Genomic DNA, 17835 nt, shown 5'->3' on the forward strand with positions numbered 1-17835 from the left:
TTTACAAGGCCTTTCCCCACATACGCATTATTTCTTGAGGTCTGTAGCTCCTGGTGAGGGGCCCCAGGTTCCCGATGGGCACCTGAGAGGCCCAGGCTCTGAGGCAGGGAGCAGTCTGCCCAAGGTCACAGTGCCCTCGATGTACCAGGATTTCTTGGAAAACGGAAGGCTGGAGGCACTGATTTCCAAGGCCCCTCCTGGGGCTCCCGGCAGCCGAGGGCAGATGCCCTGCTCTTGGAGCCAGAAACCTTGGCTAGCTGCCGCCACACTGGTGACCTCCAGCAGGCTATGCTGTTTCAGAGCCTCGGTCTCCTCCTTTGAAGAGCAGGCCCAGTGATCCTTGGCTGGTGTGCCCCATGCTTGTTGGCACCACCAGCCAGGCCTGGGCGGGAAAAGCCCTGCATGACTCATGGGCCTGACATAGAGGGGCATGGCATGGCATTGTTCTTCCTTGCCTCCAAGCCTCTCTCCCACTGCCCTCACCACCTCTACCTACCCTGCCACCACCACCCTGGGAACTTGGGTGCCAGCAAACCAAAGAGGTGAAGCTTCCAGGCCTTTGACCCCACCAGGAACGGCTACCCTCTCGCCCACTCAACAGGTTGATTGAACACCTACTATGTGCTAGGTAGGCCTTGTGCTAGGAGATGCATCAGTGCATAAAAATCCCTGCTTTCATTGGCAGGGAACAGACATAAACAAACAAGATCATGCCAGTCTTGATTATACCAAAAAGATGAAATGGGGCATTTTAATAAAGTAACTTGCGGAATAGATAAGGTGGTTGGGGAAGACCTCCTGGAGCTGAGACCTCGATGATGAGAAGGAGCTGGGGAAAGAGGCTTCTAGAAGGAGGAAAGGGCTAGTGCAAATGCTCTGAGGTTGTAATCAGCTTAGTATTTGGGGATGAGCCAAGAGGCCAGGGAAGGTGGAGGCTGGGGGTGGGTGAAGGGAATGGGGGTGATGAGGCTGCAGAGGTGCAAAGGGTTCTTCCTTCCCAGCCCCCAGCATGGTAGGCTGCGCTGAGGACTGAGGCCCGGGCTTGGCTTCCCTCCTGCTTATGATGGGAAGGTGGGGGAGCAGGGGAGTGGGGAGTGATGTGATCTGATTTATGGTTTGGAAGGATTGCTTTGGCTGCGGCAAGCAGCCGGGATTGGAGGGGCTCAGGAGGAAGGAGGGGGAGGGCGAGACTGCAGTGGTCCAGGCTGAAATGAGGTGGCTTGCTGAATGCTCAGAGCTCCTTGAGCACACAACCTAGCGTCTGTCGATTTCACCTCCTGGAGAAACCTTCCCTGACTGCTCCGCCAGACTCCTCACCCTCTCCCATCTCCAGCCCCCTCATCCCCGGAGCTATCTGGCTGCTGGTCTGCAAGCAGCTGGAGTCCCCAGCATCACCCAGCCCACAGCCTGGCCTGCAGGAGGCTTCTAGTAAAGTGGCCAATTAATCCCCGAGCCCCGTCTTCCAGGGTCATGCACACAGTCACACGCGTGCTCTTCACATGTGTCACCCTGCCCCCACACACACTCACTTGGATCTCCAGACAAGGGCTTGGAGGGTAGGATGGGCAATCTAGGGGGCAGGAGGGGCCCTGGAGTCTCCTCCATTGAGTGTGCAGGCGATGGTGGCCACAGGGTAATAACAACCTCAGCGAGACCCTGAGGTCTGCCCCTCCTTAGGAATGGCCAGGCAGGGAAGAAGGGAGCAGTGCTCGGTCCCAGCATCCCACCACTGCCGAGATGGTTCTGAGCGGGTTCCTGGGCTGAGGCCGGGGCCTGTGTTTTCCAAGATTCCTTGGAGAGCCAGCTCCATCCTCTTCCTGATTATCTGATCTTTGGGCTACAGCAGAAGGAAAGAGCAGGGCGGAAGCGAGCTCTGGAAAGTGGAAAGAGGAGGGTGTGCGAGGAGACCCAAGGCGGGATCTAGGCTTTGGAACGTTGGAGGTTTCCGGCCACAGAGGCAGGGCCTCCGGGGAGCCAAGAGGGGCGGGGAGAGACACACACAGAGAAGCAGAGGAGACCAACGGACCGGACAGAGACGAGGAGAGGAACAGGAAGAGAGAAGCTGGGAGAATCGGGAACCTGGGGGCTAGTGACCTGCACACAGGGCAGGGGCACTCGGCAGTTCCCAGAGGCCACCCCTCCCACCCCAGACATCCAGACATCTGGAACTTTGGGTGCCAAGAGTCCAGCTTAATGCAGGCAGCCTGGCTTTTGGGGGCTTTGGTGGTCCCCCAGCTCTTGGGCTTTGGCCATGGGGCTCGGGGAGCAGAGAGGGAGTGGGAGGGAGGCTGGGGAGGTGCCCAGGAGGAGGAGCGGGAGAGGGAGGCCCTGATGCTGAAGGTGAGCTCTGGAGTGTCAGGGAGCTATGGGTGGTGAACTGTGGGTCTGGGAGGGGGTATTGCAAGGTTAGGGAAATGGACAATGAGGAGCGATTGGGATAGTCTCAGAGGAGTGGGAGGGTGATGGGCTCAGAGACAGGACTCAGGCAGCAGAGAATGAGTTATGAGTTGGAAAGGGGTGAATGGGGCATCTTGGTGGCAGGCTGGGGCTCACCACCCCTCCCCTGCCCCAGCATCTGCAGGAAGCCCTAGGACTGCCTGCTGGGAGGGGGGATGAGAATCCTGCCGGAACTGTTGAGGGAAAAGAGGACTGGGAGATGGAGGAGGACCAGGGGGAGGAAGAGGAGGAGGAAGCAACGCCAACCCCATCCTCCGGCCCCAGCCCCTCTCCCACCCCTGAGGACATCGTCACTTACATCCGTGAGTAACCAGAAGCCCTCACCCCCAAACTCCTAGGCCGCCGCGGTCACTTTCGCAAAAATGAAGGGTCGGTTCACTGCCAAGTGGCCTTTCAGTTGTCCATTGCCCAGCCCAGAGCCCCCACACCCCTAGGAGCCCCAGGTCCACGGCCATGCCTCCTAAAGGCCTGGGCCACTCGACCCTACCTTCCAGGAGTCCGGGGTGCCCCCCCCACCGCCACCCCGCCCTCAGGAGCCCTAGATCCCAGTTCTCCAGGTCCTCAGGCCCCCCGCTGCATCTCCAGGCTCCCCCTCCAGCATGATCCCTGTCTGTCCGCAGTGGGCCGCCTGGCCGGCCTGGACGCAGGCCTGCACCAGCTGCACGTCCGTCTGCACGCGTTGGACACCCGCGTGGTCGAGCTGACCCAGGGGCTGCGGCAGCTGCGGAACGCGGCAGGCGACACCCGCGATGCCGTGCAAGCCCTGCAGGAGGCGCAGGGTCGCGCCGAGCGCGAGCACGGCCGCTTGGAGGGTGAGTCCGCGGCGCGCGGGGTGGAAAAAAATGAGACTATCTGGGCCAGGAATGGGACTGGTTGAGAAGGTGACCCTAGGTGTCCGGGGCGGGAGAGTTCGGGAGAGCTGCTGTGTGCTAGCGGACGGGGTTAGAGAGCTGGGAGGCTGAATGCAGGGAGCGGGTGGGCACTCCAGACCCGCGCGGACCCGACTGGGGCAGCACCACGCCCCCTACAGTCCAGCTCCCACCGCCTGGCCCCGCCCCTGGCGGACCAGACTCTCCACCTCCTGGCTCCCGCGGTTCTGACCACGCCTCCTCCCAGCCCTCCCCATGAGTTCCTGGCCCCGCCTCCCTCCACCCCCGGATGTTTTGTCCTCGCCCCCTTCCAGACTCTGAATGCATGACCCCGCCTCCTTCTCTACCCGGCCCCGCCCACAGGCTGCCTGAAGGGGCTGCGCCTGGGCCACAAGTGCTTCCTGCTCTCGCGCGACTTCGAAGCTCAGGCGGCGGCGCAGGCGCGGTGCACGGCGCGGGGCGGGAGCCTGGCGCAGCCGGCAGACCGCCAGCAGATGGAGGCGCTCACTCGGTACCTGCGCGCGGCGCTCGCTCCCTACAACTGGCCCGTGTGGCTGGGCGTGCACGATCGGCGCGCCGAGGGCCTCTACCTCTTCGAAAACGGCCAGCGCGTGTCCTTCTTCGCCTGGCATCGCTCACCCCGCCCCGAGCTCGGCGCCCAGCCCAGCGCCTCGCCGCATCCGCTCAGCCCGGACCAGCCCAACGGTGGCACGCTCGAGAACTGCGTGGCGCAGGCCTCTGACGACGGCTCCTGGTGGGACCACGACTGCCAGCGGCGTCTCTACTACGTCTGCGAGTTCCCCTTCTAGCGGGGCCGGTACCCCGCCTCCCTGCCCATCCCACCACCCGGCCTTTCCCTGCGCCGTGCCCACCCTCCTCCGGAATCTCCCTTCCCTTCCTGGCCACGAATGGCAGCGTCCTCCCCGACCCCCAGTCTGGGCGCTTCTGGGAGGGCTCTTGCGGTGCCGGCACTCCTCCTTGTTAGTGTCTTTCCTTGAAGGGGCGGGCACCAGGCTAGGTCCGGTGCCAATAAATCCTTGTGGAATCTGACTTGAGGGGCAGTGAAGGCAGTCTTGGACTTTATCTCCTGCAGGGGAAGCCGGGAAGGGCCAGACCCTGGTCTTTGGGCGCGTGTCCTGGCCTTTGGATGCCTGTTCTGCTTTTTACAGATGTCATTTGAGCCCCAGATGGAGTGATGGAGAAACACAGGTGCATATGTACACACGGTCATCTGTTCTGTGCACAGATGGCCGGAGTACACGCGTACAAACGCTGTAGACACCTTCACCTCCATCGTGCCCTCTCTCTCGGCCTTTGGGACCCAGGGCCTGCCAGTTGTCCCAGGCCTTGGTCTTGGTCCTGGTCAAAGAGATTTGGGAAACGTGAAGGGGCTAAAGGCTCTGACAAGTCCGGCAGGAAAGAGCCCGTTTAATTTGTTTAAGTGGCGTGTCCAATTTGTTTCCCCAGATGATATGGTTTCATGGACTTGTTGGGATGATATATTGAGACATGGACTTAAGGACTCACCCAACCCTGAAGCTTAGACTTCCTCCCAATTTTCCCTCCTCTGCTTCCTGCCAGTGAGGCCAGGAGCCAGTCCCTTCCCCTCTGTGAGCCTCGGGTTTTTCATCTGAACGTGGGCACAATCCCTCCTACTTTGTGCGGCTCTTGGGATGTTCAGGTGAGACCAGGACAGTGTGCATTTGGTGGTGGCTGAACTTGAGCCACACACTACCTTCCGTCCTCACCTTTTTTTTTCCTTTTTTGAGACACGGTCTTGCTCTTTCGCCCAGGCTGGAGTGCAGTGGTACAATCATGGCTTACTGCAGCCTCAATCTTCTGGGTTCAAGCAGTCCTCCCACCTTAGCCCCCCAAGTAGCTGGGACTACAGGCACGCCCCACCACACCTGGCTAATTTTTGTATTTTTTTATAGAGGTTGGTTTTCGCCACGTTGCTCAGGCTGGTCTTGAACTCCTGAGCTCAAGCAATCTGCCCTCCTGGGCCTCCCAAAGGGCTGGGAATACAGGCATGAGCCACAGTGCCTGGCTCTCCCTCACCATTTTTCATACCTTTACTCCCTGGGGGCAGTGAAGACACCCAGGAGTCCGCCAGCCGGGGCCTCAGCATAGTGGCCAGCTCTGTCTAGAGGAGAGGCTCTTTGGAAATCACCCTAGTACCTCCCCCAAGGTTGGCATCATGGGCGTGACCCTGACATCAGGGAGCCTAGGAATGGGGATGTGACCCTGTCTGTCCTTACCACTCTGCCCCTTCCCTTCCTTCAGCCATTGCACCACTGCCTAAAGGGTGACCATTGGATCCACACATGGGAGGAGCAAGCCATCACTGTCAGCTTGGATAGAGGGGAGATCACCCACCCTTCTCCCTTCAGGAGACATTTCTCAGCCCCACATCCCCAGAGGAATACAGAATAGGAGAGTGGGGGTGTGGCCTGGAGTCAGCCTTCCATCAGAAATTCTTCTCATGCTGAGCTTCAGTTTCCCCGGGGAGGGATAGGCAGCCCTAGATCTTATAGCCAACCAGAGGTCAGATTAGGCAGACAATGATGAGTATCTATTATTTCCCAGAGGGGTCTCTGCCCTGGCAGAGCTTCCATTCTGGAAAGTATTTGGGCATGGTACACCATGGCTACCCGCCCAGATTCTAGAGCCAGATGGCCCAGGTTCCAATCCTACCTCAGCCACTTATCTCCTGGGAGAACCTGAGTGAGACATAACCTTGCTACTTCTCAGTGTCTCCATCTGTACTGTGGGGATAATAACAGTATTGATCTAGAATAGTACCAGACACAGAGGGGTCTTTGCAGTTCCCAGATCTGAGCTTCACCAGGGCAATTCAACCTCACCTTCATCTCTCTGTACTCTCTCCTGACACTGTGCTTTTGTATATGCAAAGATCTCCATCCTCCCTCCTCTCTAGGGTAAACACCCACTTCCAAGAATTGGATAACACATCACCCCAACAACCAGCCCTTCCCCCAGCCCCTTGCGGGGTTAGGGATCCCCTTTGGTATCCACAAACCCCTTGTTCCTCTCTTGACCCAGCCCTGATCAGACAGGCTGAGGGACACTCCAGGTGCGTGGGGGAGGGCAGGACAAGGTATGACTATCTCTGTCCCCAGCATCGCCTGGCATATGGGAGCCCTTTGAATGAAGATGCTTGTGTGGCATCATGCAGGGGACCCTGAGATGAGTCGGATCTCGGCTGCTTTTCCTCCCTGGCCTCCCCAAGGCTGGGTGAGGCACCTTCTCTAGTTTCCCGTAGGGTCCAGGGCTTTCCACATCACTTTAGGTGCCACTGTCTGGTCTGACAGACAATGTCTGTCTCCCTGGCAGGGCCTGGAGCTATCATACCAAGCACAGGGCCAGCTGTGGGCATGCAGAGAGAGAGGTCTGAAGTGGGGAGTGGCGTGCCTGCAAGGACGGTTTATGCATCAGAACAGCACGCCTATATGTGGCATTCGGCGCTGATTCCTGACTCTGGTCTGCGTGGGAAACCTACTCTCTCCTCCAGGAAGCCCCCCCAGACTTCCTGCGGGCCAGAGTTTGCCAATGTCCTCTCCCTGGCTCTCTGCGGAGCGCTGGTAGTGTGCAAGGCCAGAGCCATGGACCAGGGGAGGCCTCGGCAGCTGATTGGAATAGATGCATTAAGGGATCCCAGGGAAGTAGTAGAACAAGGGCAGGAGGCCTGGGATGATTCGACGGAGGAGGAAGAACCAGCGGCCGCACGGGCTTGCAGGGCGATAAAGCCCAGGAGGCCGAGCAGCAGGCGCATCACCGCCTTACCAGCACCACGTTTTTCCGCAGTAACCGGATGACTCCTACGGGTCACCTCGCAAGCCCCGCCCCCTCCTCCCATGTGAGGTTCGCCTGCCTTTCCCCGCAAGCCTGAGGGCCACGCCTTGGCGGTGAGGTCGGAGCTCCGCAGTCTCCAATCAGAGCTCAGACCCCTCCTCTCCACCCAGGCCTCGCCCCGAGGTACTCTGGAAAATGTAGTCCTGTCACGCGCCCACGGGTAGGAAAACCCCAAGTCGCGAAGCCTTAACATTCAACTCACGTTTGGATCTCTCAGACGAGAGTTTTTCAAAACAGGTGCATTTCCTTGGGTAGATCATAACCACTTTTTAAAAAGTGAAAAAAGTTCGTATGAAATATTAGTATCATAGAAAATGGTAAGACGCTTTTCAAAATTTAAACGTCGATATGCTGAATTAACAATATAAAATTCAATATAAAATTTCTTTGTGGCTAACCACTGGTCCAAACCAACTTAGTTTCTTTCTTTTCTATTTATTTTCAGGTTCTGTTTTTTTTTTTTTTTTTTTGAGACAGAGTCTCACTCTGTCGCCCAGGCTGGAGAGCAGTAGTGGCACAATCATAGCTCACTGCAGCCTCGACCTCCTGAGCTAAAGCAATCCTCCCGCCTCAGTTTCCTGAGTAGCTGGGACTACAGGCGTGCACCTTAAAAATAAACAAAAACAAAAAACAAAAAAACCAGACAATTTTAATTTGGAAATAATTTTAAACTTATAGATAACCTACACAAATATAAACACTGGAGTACAAACAAATCCTCTACTCTGATTTGTTTGTTAACAGTTTACCTCATTGCTTTGGCTTCATCATTCCATCTATCCATCCATCCACCCACCCACCCACCCATCCTAGCCCAATCATCAGGGACAAGCAAGACAAAGTCAGGTTTGTTGACCCACTGAAATGAGAGCGATCAGCCCCCAGAGGAGAAGCTGCAATCAAGTTATAGGATTTGGAAGAAGAGAGAAATTTGGATGAAATTTAAGTGAAACAATGTTTAGCTAGGTTTAGAACAAGGTAGGAATGTGTATAAGGGAGTCAGCATCAGGCCTGGGCCGCATACAGTAGCTCATGTCTGTATCCCAGTGCTTTGGGAGGCCAAGACAAGAGGATCGCTTGAACCCAGGAGTTCAAGACCCGCTTGGGTGACATCTCTATGGAAGGAAGGGAGGGAGGGGAGGGAGGGGAGAAAAGGGGAGGGGAGTGAGGGGGGGAGGGAAGGGGAGGAGAAAATTATCTGGGTGTGGTGGCACACGCCTGTAGTCCCAGCCACTTGGGAGGCTGAGGTGGGAGGATTGCTTGGGCCCAGGAGTTTGAGGTTGCAGTGAGCTATGATTGTATCACTGTATTCCAGTCTGGGTGACAGAACGAGATCCTGTCTCAAAAAAAAAAAAAAAAAAAAGGAAATATCAGATTTGGACTGCAAAGTGGACCTAAGGTCTTGTTTCCCTGGAAACTACAATGTTAATATAAATGTGGCATGCTGTGCCCAGAAACTTTTTATTTAAAACTCTGCACCAGGGCTGGAAATGGAGGCTTCTTATCTTTGTCAAAGTGACAGATCTTCCAGGAAAGAAAGATGAGTCTGTTTCATTCTTACGGATAGACTTTCATACCGCAGAGTTTCCCACAGTCTATGATTTTAGAGAACAAAGTTTCTCAGTGAGTAAGATAGCAGTAGTCGCTCATAAAGGGGGCTGTTAGAACACTTTTACTGCTGCAGCTCGCCCCTGGGTGAAATGTGTCCTGTTAACCTTGCGGTTGGCTTTATCTCAGTCTATAGATGAAGGGCAGGCCAGATTTTTATAGTATTAGCTGGCTTTAGCTCATATATATATATATATAATTTTTCTTTTCTTTTGCTGCCTTTCTTTTTCTTTCTTTCTCTCTCCCATCTTTCTTTCCTTTTTCTTTTGTCTTTTTTTTTTTTTTTTTTTTTGAGATGGAGTTTTGCTCTGTCATTCAGGCTGAAGAACCATGGTGCAATCTCGGCTCACTGCAATCTCCACTTCCTCAGTTCAAACAATTCTCCTGCCGCAGCCTCCTGAGTAGCTGGGACTACAGGTGCCTGCCACCACACCTGGCTAATTTTTGTATTTTTAGTAGAGACAAGGTTTCGCCATGTTGGCCAGGCTGGTCTTGAACTCCTGACCTCAGGTGATCCACCCGCCTCGGCCCCCCAAAGTGCTGGGATTACAGTTGTGAGCCACCGCGCCCAGCCAGTTGTCATGTCTCTTTAGCCTCCTTGAATCTGGAACATTTCCATATTTATAATATTGACATTTTGGTGGCCGGGCGTGGTGGCTCACGCCTGTAATTGCAGCAGGTTGGGAGGCCGAGGCGGGTGGATCACGAGGTCAGGAGATCGAGACCGTCCTGGCTAACATGGTGAAACCCCATCTTTACTAAAAATACAAAAAATTAGCCGGGTGTGGTTGCAGGCGCCTGTAGTCCCAGCTACTCGGGAGCCTGAGACAGGAAAATGGCGTGAACCCAGGAGGCAGAGCTTGCAGTGAGCCGAGATCACGCCACTGCACTCCAGCCTGGGCAACAGAGCAAGACTCCGTCTAAAAAAAAATTTTATATATATATATGCACACACATTTTGGAAGAACAGCTCCTTGCCCTTTTAAAAATAGAAGTTCCACATTTTTAGTCGGTCTGATGTTTCCCCATGATGATTAGATTCAAGTTATACATTCTCCACCAGAATAATGAGGTGAGGTGTGTACTTCTTTGAAGGTATCCCATCTGGACATAGTCAGTGTCCTACTGTGCCTCATTAGTGAAGTGAGTTTTCATCACCCAGCGAGCTGATGTCCCATTCCCCAGCTCTATAATACTCCTTTGCAGCTAATAAGCAGTCCAGGGGCAGATACTTTAAGACAGGCAGTATCTGCCTTTCATCAAAATTTCCCCCTTGATTTCGCACCCATTGATGATTCAGCTGATGTGGGCTTATTATGAATAACAAAAGATGCTCCTGGCCTGGTAGGGTGGCTCACGCCTGTAATCCCAGTACTTTGGGAAGCTGAGGCGGGAAGATCACTTGAATTCAGGAGTTTGAGACCAGCCTGGGCAACATAGTGGGATCTTGTCTCTAAAGAAAATATAAAAATTAGCCTGGCATGGTGGCAAGAGCCTGAAGTCCCAGCTACTTGGGAGGATGAGGTGGGAGGATTGCTTGAGCCCAGGAGGTCGAGGCTGCAGTGAGCTGTGATCATGCCACTGCACTCCAACCTGGACAACAGAGGGAGACCCTGTCTGAAAAAAAAAAAGACAAGAAAAAGAATAGGACGTTACTGTTAAACGCCTTCTCCCATCCCCCTCGCCAGTACCTACCATCCTGACTTGTGTTTCGCCGTTGCTTGATTTTCATTATTATTTTAGCATGTGTGTATGTTTCCCAAAAAACATCTTATTTAGTTTTGCTTGTTTTTTGGGCTTTGGAGTAATAATACACGTATTCGTTGTCTCGAACTGCCCTTATAAAGTACCACAGGCTAGGGGACTGAAACAGCAGAATTGATCATCTCCCAGTTCTGGAGGCTGGAAGTCTGGAGATCAAGATGTTGGCACGGTTGGTTTCTTCTGAGGCCTCCTTCTTTGGCTTGCAGACGGCCGCCTTCTTGCTGTGCCCTCATGTGGTCCTCTCTGTGTGCACATCCCTGGTGACTCTCTGTATGGCCATATATCCTCTTCCCATAAGGATGAAGTCCAATTGGATTAGGGCCCACCCTAATGGCCCCATTTAACCTTCACCACCTCTTTAGAGATCCTATCTCCAAATACAGTCATGTTCTGATGTACTGGGGGTTAGGGCTCCAAAATATGAATTTTGGGGGCTGCATTTCAGCTCACAACCATATCTTACTGTATGCAACTTGCTATTTTTTTTTTTTTTTTTGAAACAGAGTCTCGCTCTGTTGCCCTGGCTGGAGTGAAGTGGTACGATCTCAGCTCACTGAAACCTCCGCCTCCTGGGTTCAAGCCATTCGCCTTGCTTCAGCTTCCCAAGTAGTTGGGACTACAGGCACACACCACCACACCTGGCTAATTTTTGTATTTGTACAGATGAGGTTTCACCACGTTGACCAGGCTGGTCTCGAACTTCTGACCTCAAGTGATCCACCCGCCTCGGCCTTCCAATGTGTTGGGATTACAAGTGTGATCCATTGCACCCTATCAATGCAACTTGCTTTTTAAAGACAAACTCCTATCACTAAGATGCGTTCGTGATGGTGCCTGTAGCTTTTGTTTGCACATTTTTCAGGGGTATGGTATGAAAATGCTTAAAAATAATGTGGGGAGAAATCGATGAAATGGATGGGGGAAGAAAAGAAGATTAACAAAACTAAAAGCTATTCTAATTTTTGAAAAAGCAACTAAGACAGACTTACTTTTGGCAAACCGATTAAGAACAAAGAGACAGGCTGCAAATAAAATACAAATTGTAAAGTGGTGAATAATTACAGCCAGGACAGAGATATAAAAAGTAATTATATTATGGCTATGTGCTAACATTAAAAACCTGAATGAACTGGTTAAATTACTAGCAAAATATACAATGCGAAAATGACACAAAATTACAGACTGAATAAGCCAGTGACTATTGAAGAATTTGAAATTATATTCAGAGATCTCCCCTCTCCCCAAAAAACCCCCAGGCACAGATGGTTTTCTAAGCAAGTGATACCAAACATTCAAAGAATGTTTAATTCCTATCTTGTATGAATTATTCCAGAAAATCGCTGGAAAATTATGTAATAACTGCCTGATTCATTTTTAGAGACTAATGCAATGTTGAATCCAAAATCGGATAAGGACCAGATGCAAGAAAATTATAGATTCATTTCGCTTGTGAATGAAGATGTAAAAATCCCAAATCAAATAATTGCCACTTCAATCCAGCATATCATAATTCTTCATGATCAAATAAGATTTCTCCTCCTAATGCGAAGATGGTTCAAAAATTAAAAAAAAATTCTTTCAATATAATTCACCATATCAGTAGACCAAGGAAGAAAATATAATGATTTCAACTGATGTGGGAAAATAATTTCATAAGGCTGTACATCTATTTACGATTAAAAGTTAAAACACTCCACTTTGGGAGGCTAAGGCAGGAGGATCGCTTGAGCCCAGGAGTTTGAGACCAGCTTGGGCAGCACAGTGAAACCATGACATGGTGGTGTGTGCTGGTGGTCCCAGCTACTTGGGAGGCAGAGGTGGGAGGATCACTTGAGCCTGGGAGGCTGCGTGGTTTTGAATTGCATTTCTGTGATGATTAATGGTGTTAATATTTTCCTGGACATTTAGCCCATTTATATATCTTCTCTGGGAAATGTCTGTTCAGATCATTTGCCCCTTTTTTGTTTGGTCGTTTTATTTTATTTTTTGAGACGGAGTCTCACTCTGTTGCCCAGGCTGGAGTGCAGTGGTGGAATCCCGGCTCAGTGCAGCCTCCACCTCCCGGGTTCCAGCGATTCTCCTGCCTCAGCCTCTCAAGTAGCTGAGATTACAGGCACCCACCATCGTGCCCAGATAGTTTTTGTATTTTTTAGTAGATATGGGGTTTCGCTATGTTGGCCAGGCTGCTCTCAAACTGCTGACCTTAAGTGATCTTCCCGCCTTGGCCTCCTAAAGTGTTGGGACTACAGCTGTGAGCCACCACGCCTGGCCTCACCCATTTTAAAATTGGGTTACTTGAGTTCTTTGCACATTTTATTTTTTGTTTTTGCTTTTTGGAGGGTTACTGTATACATCTTAATTTATCAGAATCAGTTTCAGATTTATACTAGCTTTATTACAGTGAGATATAGAATGGTTATTCCTAGATAGTTCTATTCCATTTCCCCTTGTTGTGGTATCATTATAAACTTTTTTTTTTTTTTTTGAGACGGAGTCTTGCTCTGTTGCCCAGGCTGGAGTGTGGTGGTGCAGTCTCAGCTTACTGCAACCTCTGCCTCCTGGGTTCAAGCTATTCTCCTGCCTCAGCCTCCTGAGTAGCTGGGATTACAGGCACCTGCCACCACGCCCAGGTAATTTTTGTATTTTTAGTACAGATGGGGTTTCGCCATGTTGGCCAGGCTGGTCTCCAACTCCTGACCTCAGGTGATCTGCCTGCCTTGGCCTCCCAAAGTGCTGGGATTACAGGCATGAGCCACTGCACCAGACAGTAATGCATTAAGCTTTGAATACCTAAGCTCAAGAGTTGACATCAACCTTTCCCCACAGATAATTCTGGTGCTTGTGAACTAGTGGTCTCCGTAGATGTTTGCCACCAAGAAGGTCCTGGGGACTCGCAAAAACAGTCTGTGGGAGATGGATATGTGAGTCTGCTTCTAAGAGGCTCTTTGGCCGCCTCTGGCACACGGGGCCATCTCTCTCCTGCTTGCCCTCTGCCCTCTTCTCTCCCTCCATTTTCCATAATTTCAACAAAATCAGTTAATATTTACAAAGCACTGAGAACAGCACTTGGGACTCAGTAGGTGCTAAAAAAAATCATCAGCTGCTTCTTTTTTTTTTTTTTTTTTTTTTAGACAGAATCTTACCCTGTTGCCCAGGCTGGAGTGCAGCAGTATGATCTCAGCTCACTGCAACCTCTGCCTCCTGGGTTCCAGCAATTTTCCTGCCTTGGCCTCCCAAGTAGCTGGGATTACAGATGCCTGCCACCACACGAGCTAAGTTTTGTATTTGTAGTAGAAACAGCATTTCACCATGTTGGCCAGGCTGGTCTCGATCTCCTGACCTCAGGTAATCCACATGCCTCGGCCTCCCAAAGTGCTGGAATTACAGGCATGAGCCACCATGTCTGGCCCATCAGTTGCTATTATTAGCATTATTCCTTCTGGGGAATGTTTTAGATACTGCATTTCATGGACTCTAAGAAACTCCACTTTTATGGTTGTTACAAAGAAAGAAAAGTGTATACTGTCTATAAGATGCAACAATGCTTCCTTACCACTTGGAATTTTTATTTCTTATTTACTGAAAGAGCTTTTATGGGTGTATTTATTGCGAACAATAAAGGAAAATACAAGTAAAATAAAGGATTCCTAAAATTGTTCCACAATTGAGATCCTTTTTTTTTGTTTATTATGGAAAAGTTATACAAAAATTAGCTGGACATGGTGGTGTGTACCTGTGGTCCCAGCTACTCGGGAGGCTGAGGTGAGAGAATCACTTGAGCCCGGGAGGTCGAAGCTGCAGTGAGTCGTGATGGCGCCATTGCACGCCAGCCTGGATGACAGAGTGGCGGGAGGGAGACCCTGTCTCGAAAAAAAAAGAAAAAAAAAGGTTGCGTGTAAGAACTAAAAATCATTACTGCTGGGCTCTTGATCCAGCTTTGCAATTAGAGGAGACAGTTTATTGCTGACTTCTGTTTTCAGAGCAAACACCAAACACAACTTATTCCCCACCAATTCCCCCTGACCCACCCAGGCCCACCAAGTTGGTTCCCGGGGGCTGAGAGTGCCCCACTCTTGTCTGCTGGATTTTCTTCTGGGCTGTGGACACCCCTTCTGCAGGTTTTCATGCCTTTCAAACAGCAGTCGTATGGTGCCAGACGTTGAAAGATGCCTTCCGGTTTCAGAGGCGTCAAGATATGGGAAAAGTGGCTTCTTAGAATTGATCAGTTACGATGTGTTTTTCAAAGGTGGCGTCTCCTTTACTGCAGGCAGTTCCTTCTCTAAGGGAGAGCTTGTGGGATGATGGTTGTTCTCCCCAGGCTCTACTCTGCCTGGATTTGGGCACTGCTTATTGCCAAGCTGATATCCTAACTAATATTTTCAAGTGGGCAGCCTGGTTTCGGATACTTAATTTCTAGCAGCATTTCCCCTGCTGCCACGCCATCTTCAGTCTTTTAAAATTGTAGTACCCTGGGAAGAGTTTATGGCATTCTTACCCAATTCCTTCTTGGCGCAAATTTAAGGTTTTTTTGTTTGTTTGTTTTTTTCCTTCCCTAAGTGTTTTGCTATTGCAATGTCAAACTAAATAAGAAACACAGAGAGGCTTCCAAAAGAAAATATGTTATCTGGGAATAGATCACTGCAGTGGGAAATGCATGTCATAGTAAACTATGTGCGTATGCAGGGAGGTAAAGGAAGAAGAAGGTTTTTAAAGGGAAAGAAGAGGAGGATTACATATTGTTTCGAAATAATTATCCTTGGCTGCAAAGATCGATAATAAAGGTGACACCAGTCTGAGGGTGAACAGGCAATTGTGGGGGAGATGTCCTTGAGTATTTTTGGTGGCAGGTTGTGATGGCTTTTGTGCCAGGTTGTGGTTTTTATAGAGTCTTGTAATAGGTGTTGTTGGTTTTTGTTTTTGTTTTTGTTTTATTTTGTTTTTGAGATGGGGTCTCACTCTGTCACCCAGACTGGAGTGCAGTGGTGTGATCTCAGCTCAATGCAGTGCAGCCTCCAACTCCTGGGCTCAAGCGATCCTCCCACCTCAGCCTCCGGAGTAGCTGGGACTACAGGCACATACCACTATGCCCAGCTAATATTTGGTATTTTTTGTTGAGATGGAGATTCGCCATGTTGCCCAGGCTGGTCTCCAACTCCTGGGTTCAAATTGAGCCTCCCTCCTCGGCTTCCCAAAGTGCTGGGATTACAGGCATGAGCCCTCATACCACGCATGTGATAGTTTTTGTTATCAAGCATACAAGCATGATAACCCTCTCTTCGTGGCTCTAGTTGTCAATGTTTAAAAATATTAGTACCTAGGGATGGGTGCGGTGGCTCACACCTGTAATCCCAGCACTTTGGGAGGCCGAGGCGGGCGGATCACGAGGTTAGGAGATTGAGACCATCCTGGATAACACGGTGAAACTCCGTCTCTACTAAAAATACAAAAAACTAGCCAGGTATAGTGGCGGGCGCCTGTAGCCCCAGCTACTCGGGAGGCTGAGGCAGGAGAATGTCGTGAACCCAGGAGGCGGAACTTGCAGTGAGCCGAGATTGCGCCACTGCACTTCAGCCTGGGCGACAGAGCGAGACTCCATCTCAAAAAAGAAAATAAATAAATAAATACTAGTACCGAGGGATGGGCGCGGTGGCTCACGCCTGTAATCCCAGCACTTTGGGAGGCCGAGGCAGGCGGATCACGAGGTCAGAAGTTTGAGACCAGCCTGGACAACATGGCAAAACCCCGTCTGTCTGTACTGAAAACACAAAAATTAGCTGAACGTGGTGTTGCTCCCAAGTAATTCCAGCTACTTGGGAGGCTGAGGCAGGAGAATCGCTTGAACCCGGGAGGTGGAGGTTGCAGTGAGCTGAGATCACGCCACTGCACTCCAGCCTGTGCCACAAGAGTGAGACTCCGTCTCAAAATAAATTAAATACATAAATAAAATAAAGACAAAAATGTTAGTACCTCTATTTTGATTTTGGTGATTTTTACAATAAATAGTGCTGCAAATGACACCTTTGGGGATGAAGCTTTTGTCCGTGTTTAGGATTTTTTCTTTGGTCTCGATTCCCACAAGTGGACCCCAAGAAAGAAAAGATCTTGTTTCTGTCACTCAGAAGGTCCTGACAACCCTACAACCGAGCAGGAGAGAGGCTGCCCTGGCCTGCCGCACCGCCCCGGGAATTCCTGTGAGATTGTTCCCTGGTTGTTGATGGACGGGGTTGGATTTTGATTTCTTGTGTGCGGGAGCGTCTTCCTGCCATGATGGTTGGCCACTCCCTCTCTTTCCGATTTGCAGATGTGTCTCCTTGTCTTTTGCCCACTTGCCTACTGGAATCCAACTTTGTTGCTTTTCTGTGTGGTTTACATGATAAGATTATTGACGCTATTTCTGTCACAGGGGATATAAGTTTTTTTCCAAGTCTATTTCTTGACTTATAATTTTAGTGTGAGTTTTGTTTTATACACAGAGATTTTAATTTAAAGGCTGTCAAATCTGTCTCCTTAATATGAGAAAAAAGGAAAAAAATTAGCATTTTTTAAATAAAGGCATAATTTGCATACAGCACAATTCACCCTTTTTAGGTGCAGTTCTGAGGTTTTGGCAAATGCACGCATCACGTGACCACCCCGCAACCAAAACACAGAACAGTTCCATCACCGCAAATTCCCTCACACCCCGTTACGGCTCAAGTGTTCAAAACATAAGAAAGCTAAAAGAATAGACGTGAATAGGCAATTCTTTTCTCCGGGTTGCTCTATGTTTTAAAAGATTGACCCCCAATTTTTTTGTCTTTTTTTCTTGAATAAAACCGAAAATGCCAAATTTCAGGGGGAGGAATTGCAGCTCAAACTAAAATTGGTAGTTAAAGAGTCCCCTGCCATCCTTGTTCTTCCCTCAGATAATGAGAATTGTTAACAAGTTCCTTCCTTTCCCTCCTTCCTTCCCTCCTTCCTTCCTTCCTTCCTTCCTTCCTTCCTTCCTTCCTTCCTTCCTTCTTTCCTTCCTTCCTTCCTTCCTCCCTTTCCTCCTTCCTTTCTTTAAATAGAGATGGGTTCTCACCATGTTGCCCAGGCTGGTCTCAAACCCATCCTGGGCTCAAGTGATCCTCCTGCCTTGGCCTCCCAAAGTGCTGGGATTACAGGCATGAGCCACCGTGCCCACCTAAGTCTTTCTTTTGAGGGCTTTCTCTCTGCCTTTTATTTCTCTTCACGTATTCATTCACGCACCAGGCACAGGTGGAGCCCCGCCATGCACGCC

General features: G+C 50.6%; 1 protein-coding gene across 1 annotated transcript, besides 3 other annotated features; it reads left to right on the forward strand.

The window, feature by feature from the left end:
- Positions 1-2031: 2031 nt before the first annotated feature.
- CLEC11A (C-type lectin domain containing 11A) lies at positions 2032-4376 on the forward strand. Its single transcript, NM_002975.3, has 4 exons — positions 2032-2340; positions 2573-2759; positions 3078-3269; positions 3690-4376. The coding sequence occupies exons 1-4, from the start codon at positions 2194-2196 to the stop codon at positions 4133-4135; spliced, it is 972 nt and encodes a 323-aa protein (NP_002966.1). The 5' UTR covers positions 2032-2193; the 3' UTR covers positions 4136-4376.
- Positions 3381-3500: a silencer, noted in NCBI's record as "silent region_10975". NCBI's record gives its function as "represses an Ori minimal core promoter by ATAC-STARR-seq in GM12878 lymphoblastoid cells {active_cell/tissue: GM12878}" and the evidence as "EXISTENCE:reporter gene assay evidence [ECO:0000049][PMID:35858748]".
- Positions 3541-3600: a silencer, noted in NCBI's record as "silent region_10976". NCBI's record gives its function as "represses an Ori minimal core promoter by ATAC-STARR-seq in GM12878 lymphoblastoid cells {active_cell/tissue: GM12878}" and the evidence as "EXISTENCE:reporter gene assay evidence [ECO:0000049][PMID:35858748]".
- Positions 6820-7539: a transcriptional cis regulatory region, noted in NCBI's record as "candidate enhancer chr19.5690 targeted for multiplex CRISPR interference". NCBI's record gives its function as "positively regulates CLEC11A gene expression with high confidence in K562 cells {active_cell/tissue: K562}" and the evidence as "EXISTENCE:mutant phenotype evidence [ECO:0000015][PMID:30612741]".

This window comes from Homo sapiens, chromosome 19, assembly GCF_000001405.40.
Source record: "Homo sapiens chromosome 19, GRCh38.p14 Primary Assembly".
Classification (NCBI taxonomy): Eukaryota; Metazoa; Chordata; class Mammalia; order Primates; family Hominidae; genus Homo; species Homo sapiens.